Consider the following 15,835-nt stretch of genomic DNA (forward strand, 5'->3'; position numbering starts at 1 on the left):
TTCAAGATGGATTAAAGACTTAAACGTTAGACCTAAAACCATAAAAACCCTAGAAGAAAACCTAGGCATTACCATTCAGGACATAGGCATGGGCAAGGACTTCATGTCTAAAACACCAAAAGCAATGGCAACAAAAGCCAAAATTGACAAATGGGATCTAATTAAACTAAAGAGCTTCTGCACAGCAAAAGAAACTACCATCAGAGTGAACAGGCAACCTACAAAATGGGAGAAAATTTTCGCAACCTACTCATCTGACAAAGGGCTAATATCCAGAATCTACAATGAACTCAAACAAATTTACAAGAAAAAAACAAACAACCCCATCAAAAAGTGGGCGAAGGACATGAACAGACACTTCTCAAAAGAGGACATTTATGCAGCCAAAAAACACATGAAAAAATGCTCACCATCACTGGCCATCAGAGAAATGCAAATCAAAACCACAATGAGATACCATCTCACACCAGTTAGAATGGTGATCATTAAAAAGTCAGGAAACAGGTGCTGGAGAGGATGTGGAGAAATAGGAACACTTTTACACTGTTGGTGGGACTGTAAACTAGTTCAACCATTGTGGAAGTCAGTGTGGCGATTCCTCAGGGATCTAGAACTAGAAATACCATTTGACCCAGCCATTCCATTACTGGGTATATACCCAAAGGACTATAAATCATGCTGCTATAGAGACACATGCACACGTATGTTTATTGTGGCATTATTCACAATAGCAAAGACTTGGAACCAACCCAAATGTCCAACAATGATAGACTGGATTAAGAAAATGTGGCACATATACACCATGGAATACTATGCAGCCATAAAAAATGATGAGTTCATGTCCTTTGTAGGGACATGGATGAAACTGGAAATCATCATTCTCAGTAAACTATCGCAAGAACAAAAAACCAAACACCGCATATTCTCACTCATAGGTGGGAATTGAACAATGAGATCACATGGACACAGGAAGGGGAACATCACACTCTGGGGACTGTTGTGGGATGGGGGTAGTGGGGAGGGATAGCATTGGGAGATATACCTAATGCTAGATGACGAGTTAATGGGTACAGCACACCAGCATGGCACATGTATACGTATGTAACTAACCTGCACAATGTGCACACGTACCCTAAAACTTAAAGTATAATTAAAAAAAAAAATTAAAAAAACAAAAAAAACCAAATACTTATTTTCTCATGATTTCTCTGGGTTATGAATCTGGGAGTGGCTTTGCTGGATGCTTCTAGCTCAGGATCTTTCATGATGCTAAAATCATCTGAGGTTCACTGTTTACATGCCTCAGTTCCTTCTGACTATTGGCTGGAGACCTCAGTTCCCCTCCATGTGGTCCTCACCATAGGCTGCCTAACTGTACTCACAAAATGGCAGCTGGTTTCCCCCAGAGCAAGTGGTCCTTGAGAGAGAAAGCCCAAGACAGGAGCTGTACTCTTTTATAACCTGGTATTGGAAATGACATGCCACCATTTCTTCCATATTCTGTTGTGCACATAGACTAACCCTGGTACATTGTGAGAAGAGAATATACTCAAGTACAAAAGCAAGAGGCAAGGATCATGGGAAGCATTTCAGAAGCTGACTACCACAGTCCATCAGTAGACCTCCATGATCGACATCCCTTCTATATGCAAAGTGCACATACCCTCTCCTAAAACCCCGAAAAGTCTCATTCCAGTACAGTTGGAAGTCTAGAATGTTATTATCTAAATCAGGTTCAGGTATGGGTAAGGCTTCTTAGGTGTTGTTCCTTAAGTACAGCTCATCAAGGACTATGTCTTTCATCTGTAGGGCATGTAATTACCATGTTTAGTGCCCTGCATTATTTTGTGGGTATCCATGTTTCCATTTGGTGTCATTTTTCCTCCTGCTTGAAAGATTTCCTAGGACATTTCTCTTTTATTTAGGGATGAAGTCTCACTATGTTGCCCAGGCTGGTCTAGAACTCCTGAGCTCAAGTGATCCTCCTGCCTTGGCATCCCAAAGTGCTAGGATTACAGGTGTGAGCCACTGCACCCTGCCTCCTCTCCAGTTTAAAATCCCCCTTTCTTGCTGTCCTAGGACATTTCTTGTAGTGAAAATCTGCAACTTTCCTTGGCTTTTGTAGCTCTGAATAAGTCCTTATTTCGCTATTGGTATTGAAAGATACTTCATTGGGTATAAAATTCTAGGATGACAGGTTTTTTCTCTTTTAGTACATGAAGATGTTGCTCCACTGTCTTCTCCCTTTTATTGCTTCTGACTGAATTTATTGCTATGTAGATAACTTTTTTTCTGTACTGCTTGAAGATTATCTTTTTATCACTAGGTTTTAGAAATTTGATTATGATGTACCTTCACATAGTTTTCTTCATGTCTTTGTGCTTGGGGTTTATTGAATCTGTGGTTTACAGTTTTCATTAAATTTGGAAAATTTTGGCCATTATTCCTCTAAACGTTCTTCATTTTTTTCATAATGGGTGTATATTTTTATGGGGTACATGAGATACTTTGATACAGGCATGCAGTGTGTAATAATCACATGGTAAATGGGGTGTAATAATTACATGGTAAATGGGGTATTCATCCCCTCAAGCATTTGTTCTTTGTGTTATGATACAGTTATACTCTTAGTTATTTTTAATGTACAATTAAATGAGCATTGACTATAGTTACCCTCTTGTGCTATCAAATACTAGATCTTGTTCATTCTTTCTACACTTTTTGTACCCATTAACCATTGCTACCTCCCCCCACCACCCCTACTACCCTTCCCGGTCGCTGATAACCATGCTTCCTTCCACTTTCTATTTCCGTGAGTTCATTTGTTTTAATTTTTAGCTCCCACAAATAAGTGAGAACATCTGTACCAGGCTTATTTCACTTAACATAATGACCTCCAGTTCCATCCATGGTATAGCAAATGACAAAATCTCATTCTTTTTTATGGCTGAATAGTACTCTATTGTGTATATGTACCACATTTTCTTTATCCGTTCATTCATCTGTTGATGGACGCTTAGGTTGCCTCCAAATCTTGGCTAATATGAACAGTGCTGCAACAAACATGAGTACAGATATCCCTTCAATAAAATTGATTTCCTTTCTTTTGAGTATATATCCAGCATTGGGATTGCTGGATAATATGGTAACTCTATTTTTAGTTTTCTCAGGAACTTCCAAACTGTTCTCCGTAGTGGTTGTACTAATTTATATTCCCAGCAACAGTGGAGGAATTCAGCAGTGAAGCCATCTGGTCCTGGGCTTTTCTTTACTGGGTGACTTTTTATTATGGCTTTGATCTTTTTACTTGTTATTGGTCTGTTCAGCTTTTGGATTTCTTCATTTTTCAATCTTGTTAGGTTGTATGTGTCTAGGAATTAATCCATTTTCTCTAGATTTTCCAATTTATTCACATATAGTTACTCATAGTAGCCACTAATGATACTCTGAATTTTTGCGCTATTAATCGTAATATCTCCTTTTTCATCTCTGATTTTATTTATTTGGGTATTTCTTTCTTTTTCTAGCTAAAGGTATGTCAATTTTATTTATCTTTTCAAAATGCCAACTTTTTGGTTCCTTGATCTTTTGTATTGTTTGTTCATTTTAATTTCGTTTATTTCTGCTCTTACCTTTCTTACTAGTTCCTTGAGGTACATCATGAGGTTGTTTGAACTCTTTCTACTTTTTTGATGGAGGCATTTATTGCTACTATACTATACTATACTATACTATACTATACTATACTATACTATACACTTCCCTTTAGCATTGCTTTTGCTATATTCCATAGGTTTTAGTATGTTGTATTTTCATTTGTATTGGAAATTTTTAAATTTTATTTTCAGTTTCTTCATTGACCCAGTGTTCATTCAGGAGCACATTGTTTAATGTCCATTTAATTGTACAGTTTCCAAAGTTCCTCTTGTTATTTATTTTTAGTTTTATTTCATCATGGTCTGAGAAGATAACTTTATATGATTTCAATTTTTAAAAATTTGTTGAGACTTGTTTCGTTGCATAACATATAGTCTGTCTTGGAGAATGTCCCATGTGTTAATGAGGACAGTGTGTATTTTGCAGCTATTGGATGACATAAATGTCTGCTAGGTCCATTTGTTCTGTAGTGCAGACTAAGTCTGATATTTCTTTGTTGATTTTCTGTCTAGGTGATCTGTACAATGTTGAAATCGAGGTGTTGATGTTCCCAACTATTACTCTATTGGGGTCTATCTCATTAGCTTTAATAATATTTGCCTTATGTATCTGGGTGCTCTGGTGTAGGGTGCATGTATGTTTATAATTGTTATACCCTTTTCTGAATTGATCCCTTTATTATTATATAACGACCTTCTTTGTCTCTTTTCATGTCTTTTGACTTGCAGTTTATTTTGTCTGATACAAGTATAGCTCCGCCAGCATGCTTTTGGTTTCTGTATGCCTGGAATATATTTTTAAATTTCTTCCCTTTCAATCTATGTGTGTGTTTACAGGTGAAGTTAGTTTCCTGTAGGCAGCATATAATTGGCTGTTTTTAAAAAAAAAAAAATTTAAGCAGAGTGTATTTTTATTTATTTATTTTTGTTGACATCAGGATACACATCTGGACAGTCTATATCTTTTAACTGGGGAATTTAAGCCATTTACATTCAGGGTTTTTTGCTAGGTGGAGGCATACTCCCATCATTTTGTTCATTGTTTTCTGAATGTTTTACATATCCTTTGTTCCTTTCTTCCTCTTTTATTGTTTACTCTTCAATTTGATTGGTTTTTTGTAGTAATAACATTTGACTTAAAAAAATCATTTGTTTATCTTCTTTATCAATGTTTTTATCCTTTCCTGTGTTTTCATGATGGTGATATCATCCTTCTGCTTCTAATTATAGGACTCAATAATTTCTTGTAGAGCCAGCCTAGTGGTAATAAATTCCTTAGTCTTTGCTTTTTGGTAAAGATGTTATTTCTCCTTCATTTTTGAAGGATAAAGCTTTTCTTGGTATAGTATTTTTAGCTGAAGAGTTTTTTTCTTTCAGCACTTCGAATGTGTCACCTCAGTGTCTTCTGGCTTGTGAGGTTTCTACTGAGAAATTAGATGTTAGTCTAATGGGGGTTTCCTTGTATGTAACTTAACCCTTTTTCTCTTGCTGTTTTCAGAATTCTCTTTTTGTCTTTGACTTTTGACAGTTTGACTATAATGTGCCTTGGAAAAGACCTCACTGGGTGAATTGTATTTGGAAACTTTGTGCTTCCTGTGTCTAGATGTCTGTATTTCCTCTAAGACTTGGGAAATTTTCAGCTATTATTTCCTTAAATAGGCTTTCTATGCCTTTGCCATTTCTTCTAGAAACTCCAAAATTTAAATATTTGGTCATTTTTGCACTGTCACATATATCATGTAAGCTTTTCCCTCCCTCCTTCCCTCTCTCCCTCCCTCCCTCCCTCCCTTCCTTCCTTCCTGGGGTTGGTTGGTTGGTTTGTTTTTTTAAGATCCATCTTAAAGTTGAGAAATTCTTTCTTCTGCTAGATCTAATCTATTGTTGAAGTTCTTGCTTATATTTTTTATTTTATTTGTTGAATTCTTCGGTTCCAGAATTTCTGTTTGGTTCCCTTTTATGAAATATCTCTTTGTTGAGTTTCTCATTTAGGTCATGAATTGTTTTCCTCATTTCTTTGTATTATTCATATGTGTTCTCTTGTATCTCACTGAGTTTCCTTCATATCATTATTTTGAATTCTTTTTCAGACAATTCATAGATTTCCTTTTCTTTGGTATCTGTTACTGGAAAATTATTATGTTCCTTTGGAGGTGTTACATTTTCTTGCTTTTTCATGTTTCTTGTGTCCTTACATTGATATCTGCACATCTGATATAACAGTTTTTCCAATTGTATGGATTGTCATTTGGAAAGAAAGACTGTTTCCTTTAGATATATCTATAGTGTTGATTGGACAGGATGCTTTGGCTTTGGTTCTGGTTGTGCACGGTAGTGTACTCTCCGTATGATTTCTTTGACTGTAATTAGTGATAGTGATGTCTGTGAATTCCTTAGTGACTTAGGCTGCATTTGTTAATAGAGGCTGTGGTGAGGCATTGCTAGGGGTACGGATGCTAGGTAGGCTAGTCCTCAGGTGCCAGTAGTGGCTGCAGTGGGTTGGGTGTGCTAGTCCTTGGTCTATGGGTTGGCATACGTGGGCGCTTGTGATGTTGGGTCTGGGCAGGCTGGTCCTTTGGTCTACAGTCGGCATACTTGGCTATTGGTGGTAGCAGGGAAGAAAAGTTTCAAGATGCATAGATCTTTCTAACAAATGATTGTTCTCCAGTATGAATCAGGATATGGCAGCTCAGATGGCAATCCCTGTTGAAAGTCTTGCCACAACCTTCATAGTCACAAATGGTCTCTGTCCTGTGCACTTGGACAAGTATGCATCAAGCTTTTAGGCCTTGTTGTAATTGGTGATGCAATCCAGGAAGGAACAGATGACCCTCCTGCGAAGCATGAGGGGTAGCAGTGGAGATACTGGGCTCTGCTGGCTGTGATGAACAGGTCAGTGATGGTTATAGATGACACCACCACAGTGACCAAAGCCAGCGGCTGCAGGGCACCGGGGCCTCCATGCTGTGGGACAGGCACATAACCGTGTGCTAAGCCATGTACTGTGAAACAGTGCACTCAGCCAACTGTTCCGGGTGGACCCCACCTTACCCCATTATCTCTGCTGCTGAAAACAATTTAATACATTGCTCTGAACATCTCATAGAACATTCATGTAATAGGCAATACACCTTAGGCCACTCTCTCATTATACAATAGTGTAAGACACCAGAGAAAGTAGTTAACCCGTTTCAAAATATCTGTGATGTATGAATAGTCACTAACTTTCAAGGCTGATTAGAACAAACTACATAATTTAGAAATGTTAACTGTAGAAAAATGTTTAGTTCTTATATTCTAAAATGGACGTTGTCCATTATCAGATGGAAAATTGAACTGACAAATTAGAATTTCTACAATGAGTCTCAAAATCACTCCTAATTTTATCACTTCTATTATTTTTTTTAGCCTGCCCTCAAGTATGTGTTGTATACATTGGTTGGCTTTGTGGGTTTTGTAACCCATTATGTGCTGCCTCAAGTTAGAAAACAGCTACCATGGCACTGTTTCTCTCATCCTCTGCTAAAGACACTAGAGTATAATCAGTATGAAGTTCGAAGTAAGTATTTCATTAGCACTTTTTCTTTTTAATACTATGAGTTTTTCCCTTTGCTATATTGATAGATGACTGAGTTAAGTGAATATCATAACAGAACATTTGGCTTGTGTTTCTTTTGCTTAAGTTTGAAGCCGTTAATGAATCTAGTCTCTTGCAGGATGCTTTAATTTAGCTGAAATATGAGTATCAGTGCTACAGTGCCAGTTTTCCACAGAAGAAACTTACTTCTCCCCTCTCTAAATTGTTCTTCACAGACTTCTCATTGATGAATCCTCCTTTGTGTGTCCATTACTTCTCTTTCCTGACCCTACTCTTCCCCCTAATTAGTTTTCAATGCCATATACAGGCAATCCAATCCTCTTTAAGGCCTCTCTATTTGAAATAGTTTTAACTTAATGCGTAGGGAGGAAGAAAGGTCTTTGTTCCTGTTTCTGCCAGAGACACTGTGTCCTACCAGAGAAAAGTGTAAAAGAGTTGACAAAGTAAAAAGAAATTAAAAACATTTTTAATAGCTGTTATTAGTTCAGATTTGCAATAAAGTATAAAAGGATGGAAAAGAGGCTAGTTCACTTGCCAAGCTTTTTCCTTACCACTGTAAACCCTGACATTTCTTTCCTGTTATAAGTATTCAGTTCTTGTTCATTGGCCCCATTATCTGTAATATATTGTACTTCCTCATTTTAGAGAAATAATAAATGTTCATACCTGTGTCATAATTTATTATATACCAATGATTAAATAAGCCAACTTTTTTCTCACACTTTTTTTTTCAGTTAGCTAATTACTGTAGAGTAAATCATTCAGTTGCTTGAAGATAACTTTTTTAGAGAACTCTGAAGCCTTTGAAAGCTTCCTAATAAATAAAAATGACATGAAGCTGCATAAGAATCTTTATTGGCCCATTTATACCATCAGGAAAATAACTCAGAATGAGATATGTTTTTAATGGTGAACTATTACTGCTTTCATATATAAATGATGACACATACCTAGTTTGTTTTAAAGACCAACACTTTTCATTAAAATAAATTATTGATCTTATTTTTTAAATCTTAGAACATGTAGTCTACAAATTTTGAATCAGCATATCATTTTGACATTTATAGTACTAACAGCAAAGTTGTTTTTTTTTCTGGTACTGATTTTAGCAACTGAAAGAAAAAATATTATTTCTTAGAGAACTTCCTAAAGCCAGGTGATGCTATTTTCAGATAGCCAAAGAACCATGTTTTAAATCTTTTAGTTTATCCTAGACACTTTCCCCAATGAAATAATATTGTAGCATTGGAAAAAAATATTATTGGCAATGAAAGCTGCTCTTAAGTATGTGAATTCAAATCATACCATATTTTTATTTATTTTGGGTGGAAAGAGCAATCTAATGATCTTCAGTAATCTTTTTTCAATAAGTTATAAGCATAAATGAGAAAAGTTATGGTTAAAAACTGAGGTTTCAAGAATTAAAGTTGGAAACTCATCTAAATGTTAAATCATGTCTAAGTTGCAAATTTGTAAGTATCTCAGAGCTCATAGAAGTTGACAGTTGATTAAAGTACTGGCTTTTTAAAAACAGTTTATTTGTAGTTTGGTACTAAATTTGTTGTAAAATTTTTCTTTCTCATCACATTGACAAACTATACATTTGATGACATGTAGTCTTGATTTATACTGCCTTGTTAGATGCAGCCACTATGATGTGGTTTGAGAAACTTCATGTGTGGCTTCTTTTTGTGGAGAAGAATATAATCTATCCATTGATTGTTCTCAATGAACTGAGCAGCAGTGCAGAGACAATTGCTAGTCCAAAGAAACTGAATACAGAGTAAGTATAGTAGTCTTCTAATATTGTCTGACTACTGGGGGCTGTTATAAACAATGTCTTAAGTTGTTGATCAAATATTAAATAATTGTTTCCTTCATGCAAGGCACTGTGAGATTAAAAATTTAGGTGACATTTTGTCCTTGACTTACCTTTTTTAAACATTTGTTTCTGCTGTTGGCATATTCTGTACTCCAGACATCTCATTGTCAATTGATATTTTATGAGAGGACATTTTAAAATAAGGTTAATTTTTAATATTATGTGGCTATTTTGATGCACTATGTAACTTACACCATATAGATGGTCAGTTGCCTCCATAGTCATCCGATGAGCCTGCCCAATAGAGTAGGTACCTATTGTTGAGTCAAGCATTAATATGTTTTTCATTTGCTAAATGCAGTTGGTGTTAAAGTAATAGAAATATTGAGAAACTAGAGAATCAGATGTCAGAATTACAATACTATTATTTTTAAAACATAGTCCTTCATATAAAGGATAAGAATCATAATGAATAGTATTAAAAGGGAATAGTCAGATACTTTCAGGATGTGATTTACCTAGCTCTATACATCATTTTTGGAAGCTTACATTTAATGTATATATTATAAGCTTAGTAAAGTAAATGGTGAATTTTATTTTAAGTTACTGTCTCTTCTAATGTTTTCAGTCATGAGTTGATTTGTGTTTTCTTTGTGCCACAGATTAGGTGCTTTAATGATCACTGTTGCTGGTTTGAAGTTGCTACGATCCTCTTTTAGCAGCCCTACATATCAGTATGTTACAGTCATCTTTACTGTGCTGTTTTTCAAATTTGACTATGAAGCTTTTTCAGAGACCATGCTGTTGGATCTCTTCTTTATGTCCATACTCTTCAACAAGGTAATTTATCACTGAAAGGAATATCCTTATCTATAAAAACTATCTCCCTGGGTTATATGCTAGTCAGAATTTTTCTTATATTTCATGTGATTTATTATTGTTTAAGTAATAACTCTCTTCAACCAGTTATTTAGGAGCACATTAGAATCCCTAAACAAAGATAGTCACTGTGATTTATAAAAGATATATTTCTTGCTATAGCTAAGAAGATAAAGTTACATAAAACAATTAGAGAAACATTAATAAGTATATTTTAAAATATATAGAATCTCTCAAAAGGTATATAGTTTTGAATAATTTTAGAAACAGAAGTGGTAATAATTGAATTGGGCTCTGGCATAGCCCAATGAAGCAGGTAGAGGCTGAGGAGACTGAGGCTAGGTGGGAGCAGTCAGAAATTAGCTTGATGTGATATTTGCAGAATACTCTGAACTTTATAGGCTTCTGCTAAAATTCATTATCCACCCATAAGATAGATGTTCTAGGCCTTTTACAAATAAGATGGTAAAACCTTGGTCCTCTGCCTCCTAACCCAAGAATCTTTTTGCTGAATCACACTACCTTTCTCAGTGAAATAGGCTGTACAGTCAGATTATTTGTCAGTGAAATAGTAATTCAATTTCATGTTAACACTGACCACATACAAAGGACTTTGACATACATTATCCCATTTGATAGGTAACAGAGAGCTGAAGCAAATGAACAGCTACAAAACACAATGAAATTCCAGTTTTAGGGAAGTTAGCCTGGTCAGCCACATTTGGCTTCATTTGGGGAAGAGAGAACCTAAAGGTACAGAGAACAGCTTAAGCGATAATGACAGTAATTCAGATGTGATAGTAGTCTGATCTAGGATGGGGAACAGTAAAAATGGAAAGCCGTTAATTTGAGCAAAGTTTCATTGATAGTCAATTTCAGTATTGTGATAAATAGCTTCTAAAATATTTCAATATTATATCTGTTCAGTCACTAATTTGTATTTTTATCATTTATTTCCTCTTCTAGTGAGTATGGTTATTAACCAAAGGAGGAAGCCAGAAAATTAATCAGAGAATTGTATAAAGAAGCATGTGGTTTCCCACAAACTCAAATATTTAGATTGAAAATTGTATTTCATCTTATACTGGTTGGAAAAAAGTGAAAGTTGCAGTAAAATATAAAGTAAATAATCTTTGAAATGTAGTTGCTACACTTAACTCTGCATTAGTTTGGATTTTCTTAATACTTTTTATTTGTTAAATATATTTTTTAAAACAAAAAACTGTTTTAGAACTGTTCTAGATGCTTAGGCTACACCAATGAACAAAATAGAGAAAGCTTTCCCCTTGAGTTTGTATTTAAATTGGTCAGTAGATAGAATTTAACAATGATAATCAGTAATATTCAAGGGATTTCTTCAGATACATTTTTTACATTAAGATATCATTGTAAGGTACATCATGGATTTAATAACCTTTTAAGAAAAATTAAATGTATACAGAAATCCCTTTGCCTACCATCCTTTACATATTGTTACATATTGTTCTTTTCTTTAATATTATAGTCAAAATTGGAATACAGTTTGTTTCACAGACTCTGAAGAGCTTTCTGAGTCATTGCTTTTAAGTCATTATAATGGCATCGTGATGATATACATGCTGCTTTTACTTACCATGATCCTGATTATATTAGTGCCGAGGATTGCATAATTTTCAGTCATGGCAAAAATAATTTTGAGTCATGGCAAAAATACTGCAGTTCATCTACATTTTTTAATTGGTTGGAGTTGTGATTTCTTTTTTAAATTGGAAGTTAAGTTCGTTTGTAAATCAGTTAAAGTATTTTAAAGGATGAGGTGATTGTTGCTTAATCATGCAGAGGCAATCTTGGACAAGTACAGCAACTCTGTTTCAGCATTGAAGAACTGTTCAACTGTGGCATATTCAACCTTAAATGAAATTAAAATGTGTATCCTGTTTCCACTGACAACAATTAAGGTTATGAACAGATGCCTGGTATACACAACTAAATTTCTATGGAAACAGGCAGTGACAACTGTATTACAAATGCTGTTTTTCACATTCCTTTTGACATTACATTTAAAACATAGTTTCCAAAGCACTAAAGTTTGGGGAAAATGTGTCTTAGAATAAAATAAATATATGTATTACTTAAGCTTTGCAGACATCTTGATTTTTTTTCTTTTTTTTTATTTATTATTATTATACTTTAAGTTTTAGGGTACATGTGCACAATGTGCAGGTTAGTTACATATGTATACATGTGCCATGCTGGTGCGCTGCACCCACTAACTCATCATCTAGCATTAGGTATATCTCCCAATGTTTTTTTCAAGAACAGTTATTTGGCTGCTTTCTACCTTACTTTGTTTTGCTTGTAGTAGCATAATATGGCCAGTAGAAGGCATAGAATTTTTTTTAAACAGATGAAACATAAATCCATATATAGCTACCTATCTTTACTTATAAAGTATCTTTACTCAGAAATAAGTGCAGTGTTTAGGCAGTTGATATATCTTTTCCTGTTATGTAAATGGCAAATAATTTCAATGCCATTTCCCTATTAGGAGAACTTCTCCTAATACATTTTACAGGGTTTTTATTTTCTAATTCAAATATCTGATAAGTTTTTTTTTTTTTACTGACAGCCATTCTTTTCCTCCTGCAGCTTTGGGAACTACTTTATAAATTGCAGTTTGTGTATACCTATATTGCCCCATGGCAGATCACATGGGGTTCTGCTTTCCATGCTTTTGCTCAGCCTTTTGCAGTGCCTCGTATCCTTCTAATTAAAGTTTTATAAGAATGGACAGTCATATCCTAGATAAGAATGTTGGTTTATAGGCATGACCTTTCATGGTGTAAGTTTACTGTGTAATGAATTATCAAAAATTCATAATCTTGGCCGGGTGCAGTGGCTCACGCCTGTAATCCCAGCACTCTGGGAGGCCGAGGCGGGCGGATCACCTGAGATTGGGAGTTTGAGACCAGCCTGACCAACATGGATAAACCCCATCTCCACTGAAAATACTAAATGAGCCGGGTGTGGTGGCACATGCCTGTAATCCCAGCTACCCGGGAGGCTGAGGCAGGAGAATCTCTTGAATCCAGGAGGTAGAGGTTGCAGTGAGCCGAGATTGCGCCATTGCACTCCAGCCTGGGCAACGAGAGCAAAACTCTGTCTCAAAAAAAAAAAAAAAAAAAAAAAAAAAAAATCATAACCTTTTATATCCACACCTATATTGTTGATTGTTTAACTTGTATTAACATCTGTGGCCCACAGATCATCTGAACATAAGAAAACTATACAGGTTTTGTAAGAAAGTAATGCTGATTTAAAATCTTACATTTGCATATGTGAATATTAAAGTCCAGGAATCTTTAATACATACAAGAAATGTTTAGCATTATTTTTTAATAAATGAAGGTACAAAACATTTTTTCATAATATGATTATGAAATTGATAGAATTAAACTTCTGTAAAAAATTTTCTACTCCCACGATTTCTTAGAAGTATTTTCTAAATAATAGTAAGGGTTAGTAACCACATTGATATGGAAAGACAGACTTATGGTATCTGCAAGTTTTAGTTTTACCCTTGTGGAAAATTGAACTCTAACATCTCTTCCCAAGATTAATATATGAATTTTACCAAATACATATTAGCAAATACTGATTTGGCTCCTTTGAAAGCAGCATACCAGGTTGTACTTTATGTATGTCTTTCTGTTGGTGACCCCTTAATGACTGCCCAGTGATATACCTTCTTTTGTATTCTTCTGGTGAACCTCAGTTCTCTAATTGAGGTAATCTAAATGTGTCTGCTAGGTTTTTGCGAGGGTTTGTTTGGCATCTGTGCTCAGATGAATGTCAGTGTCCTTAACTAGTTTTCCCATAGATTCAGCCATGCTGTTTATTCAGGCTGCTGTCTCGGCCTTCTTCTCTACTCCACTGAACCCCTTTCTGGGAAGTGCAATATTCATCACTTCATATGTCCGACCTGTGAAATTCTGGGAGAGAGACTATAAGTGAGTAAAGTAAAACACTTGAAAAACAATTTTTATCTTTCCTACTGGGAAAAACTATTGACAGCATTATTATTAGAATTTATGGTTCATAATTTATTGTGTTGAAATATTTATTTTTGCTAAAACTTAATAAATAGTCTTAAAATTTGAAAAGTATATAAAAGAAGAGGCCAGAGGAAATTACTTTTTATTTTTCTTTCTTTCCTTTTTTTTTTTTCATACAGGGTCTCATTCTGTTGCCCAGGCTGGAGTGCAGTGGTGCGTCTCTGCTCACTGCAACCTCCACCTCCTGGGGGGCTCAAGTGATCCTCCTGCCTCAGCCTCCTGAATAGCGAGGACTACAGGCTTGAGCCACCACGTCGGTTAATTTTGGTATTTTTTGTAGAGATGGAGTTTGACTGTGTTGCCTATACTGCTCTCAAACTCTTGAGCTCAAGTGACCCACCCGCCTCAGCCTCCCAAAGTGTTAGGATCACAGGCATGAGCCACTGTGCTCAGCCATTTTTTCCTACTTAAAAGATATTTTTAAACATTGTTCTGATTGAATATGTTCATGTTTATATTTTTTCTTTCAGTAATATTGAATTATTTCACATTAATAATACTCTGCAACTTTATGCTATATAATATCGTTATAACAGTCATAATGAGTTATAGTTTTCTTAGAAATACCTGGCTATTTCTAAAGCTAAATTTTTATAGGTTATTTCTGCTATTTTGAGAAGATAAGTTTGTAATGACCATCTTTGTGCATGAAGTATTTTCTCCATTTAGGCTTAGTTCCTTGGGCTAGCTACTTAATCTGAAGCTTAGTAACTATCCTTGTATGTAATCTCTCCAAATTTCATTTTGTTTCAGAAAGCGTTCCTAAAAGGGAACGCTTTTAGGAGTTATGAGTTATGGAGCATAAACATTTTTAAGGCTTTTAATATAAACACATTGGTTTAGAAAGAGCTTGTACTAATTTATAATTCTACTGACCATCTCCATGACTGCCTTTCTCTCTATACTTTCACAAATTGGCATATTTAATAGGTGAAAATTGTAATCTCACCTTTTAAACAGTGGGCTAGTTTGTAGGTTTGAAACTTTTACTCTGGTCCTTTATCTAAAACCACACATGATATTTCCCATTTTGGTGAATTTTGGTGTTATTAATTATTATTCCTCTGGACCAATTAGCCCAAAGTAATGTTCAGTGGCTGCAGTTCTTAACTTTTTGGATTTAGAACCCCTTTATACTCTTTTTTTTTCTTTTCTTTTCTTTTTCTTTTTTTGAGACAGAGTTTTGCCCTTGTCATCCAGGCTGGAGTGCAATGACACAATCTCGACTCACTGCAACCTCCGCCTCCCGGAGTGCAATGGCGCCATCTTGATTCACTGCAACCTCCGCCTCCCAGGTTCAAGCAATTCTCCTGCCTCAGCCTCCCGAGTAGCTGGGATTACAGGCGCCCACCAGCACACCTGGCTATTTTTTGTATTTTTAGTTGAGATGGGGTTTCACCATGTTGACCAGGCTGGTCTTGAACTTCTGAGCTCAGGTGATCCACCCGCTTCGGCCTCCCAAAGTGCTGGGATTACAGGCGTGAGCCACTGTGCCCGGCCTTATGGTCTTAAAAATTATTGGAAACACCAGAGTTTTAAAAATATGGATTTTATCTACTAATATTTACTAGAGTGGAAAGAAAAACTCAAAAATTTCAAATGTTTACTTATTAACTAATTTAAAAATAACAATGTCGTATCTATTGTATATTAGCATAAATAACATTTTAAAGTTAAGAATAACTATATTTCCACTCCCCCAAAAAATTAGTGAGAAGAGTGGCATTGTTATATAGTTTTGCAAATCTCTTAATGTCTGGGTTATTAAAAGACAGCTGGATTCTTGTAT

At 35.3% G+C, this 15,835-nt stretch overlaps 1 protein-coding gene and 1 pseudogene across 27 annotated transcripts in view; one reads left to right on the forward strand and one right to left on the reverse strand.

Moving 5' to 3' along the window:
• Nucleotides 1–15,835, forward strand: part of PCNX1 (pecanex 1) — a 207,924-nt gene that overhangs the window by 130,613 nt on the left and 61,476 nt on the right. For 12 of the 27 annotated variants that reach the window (XM_005267420.5, XM_005267422.5, XM_005267421.5 and 9 more), the window contains 5 exons: nucleotides 7,062–7,212; nucleotides 8,869–9,034; nucleotides 9,736–9,913; nucleotides 12,581–12,689; nucleotides 13,812–13,941. In XM_005267420.5, the coding sequence (XP_005267477.1) occupies nucleotides 7,062–7,212; nucleotides 8,869–9,034; nucleotides 9,736–9,913; nucleotides 12,581–12,689; nucleotides 13,812–13,941 (734 nt within the window). Of the gene's footprint in view, nucleotides 1–7,061; nucleotides 7,213–8,868; nucleotides 9,035–9,735; nucleotides 9,914–10,918; nucleotides 11,075–12,560; nucleotides 12,690–13,811; nucleotides 13,942–15,835 lie in introns of those variants that run through there. The other 15 variants (NM_014982.3, XM_005267423.5, XM_047431121.1 and 12 more) reach the window with 5 other exon arrangements.
• On the reverse strand, nucleotides 6,304–6,569 carry GTF3AP2 (general transcription factor IIIA pseudogene 2; annotated as a pseudogene).

Source organism: Homo sapiens, chromosome 14 (genome assembly GCF_000001405.40).
Source record: "Homo sapiens chromosome 14, GRCh38.p14 Primary Assembly".
NCBI classification, from domain to species: Eukaryota; Metazoa; Chordata; class Mammalia; order Primates; family Hominidae; genus Homo; species Homo sapiens.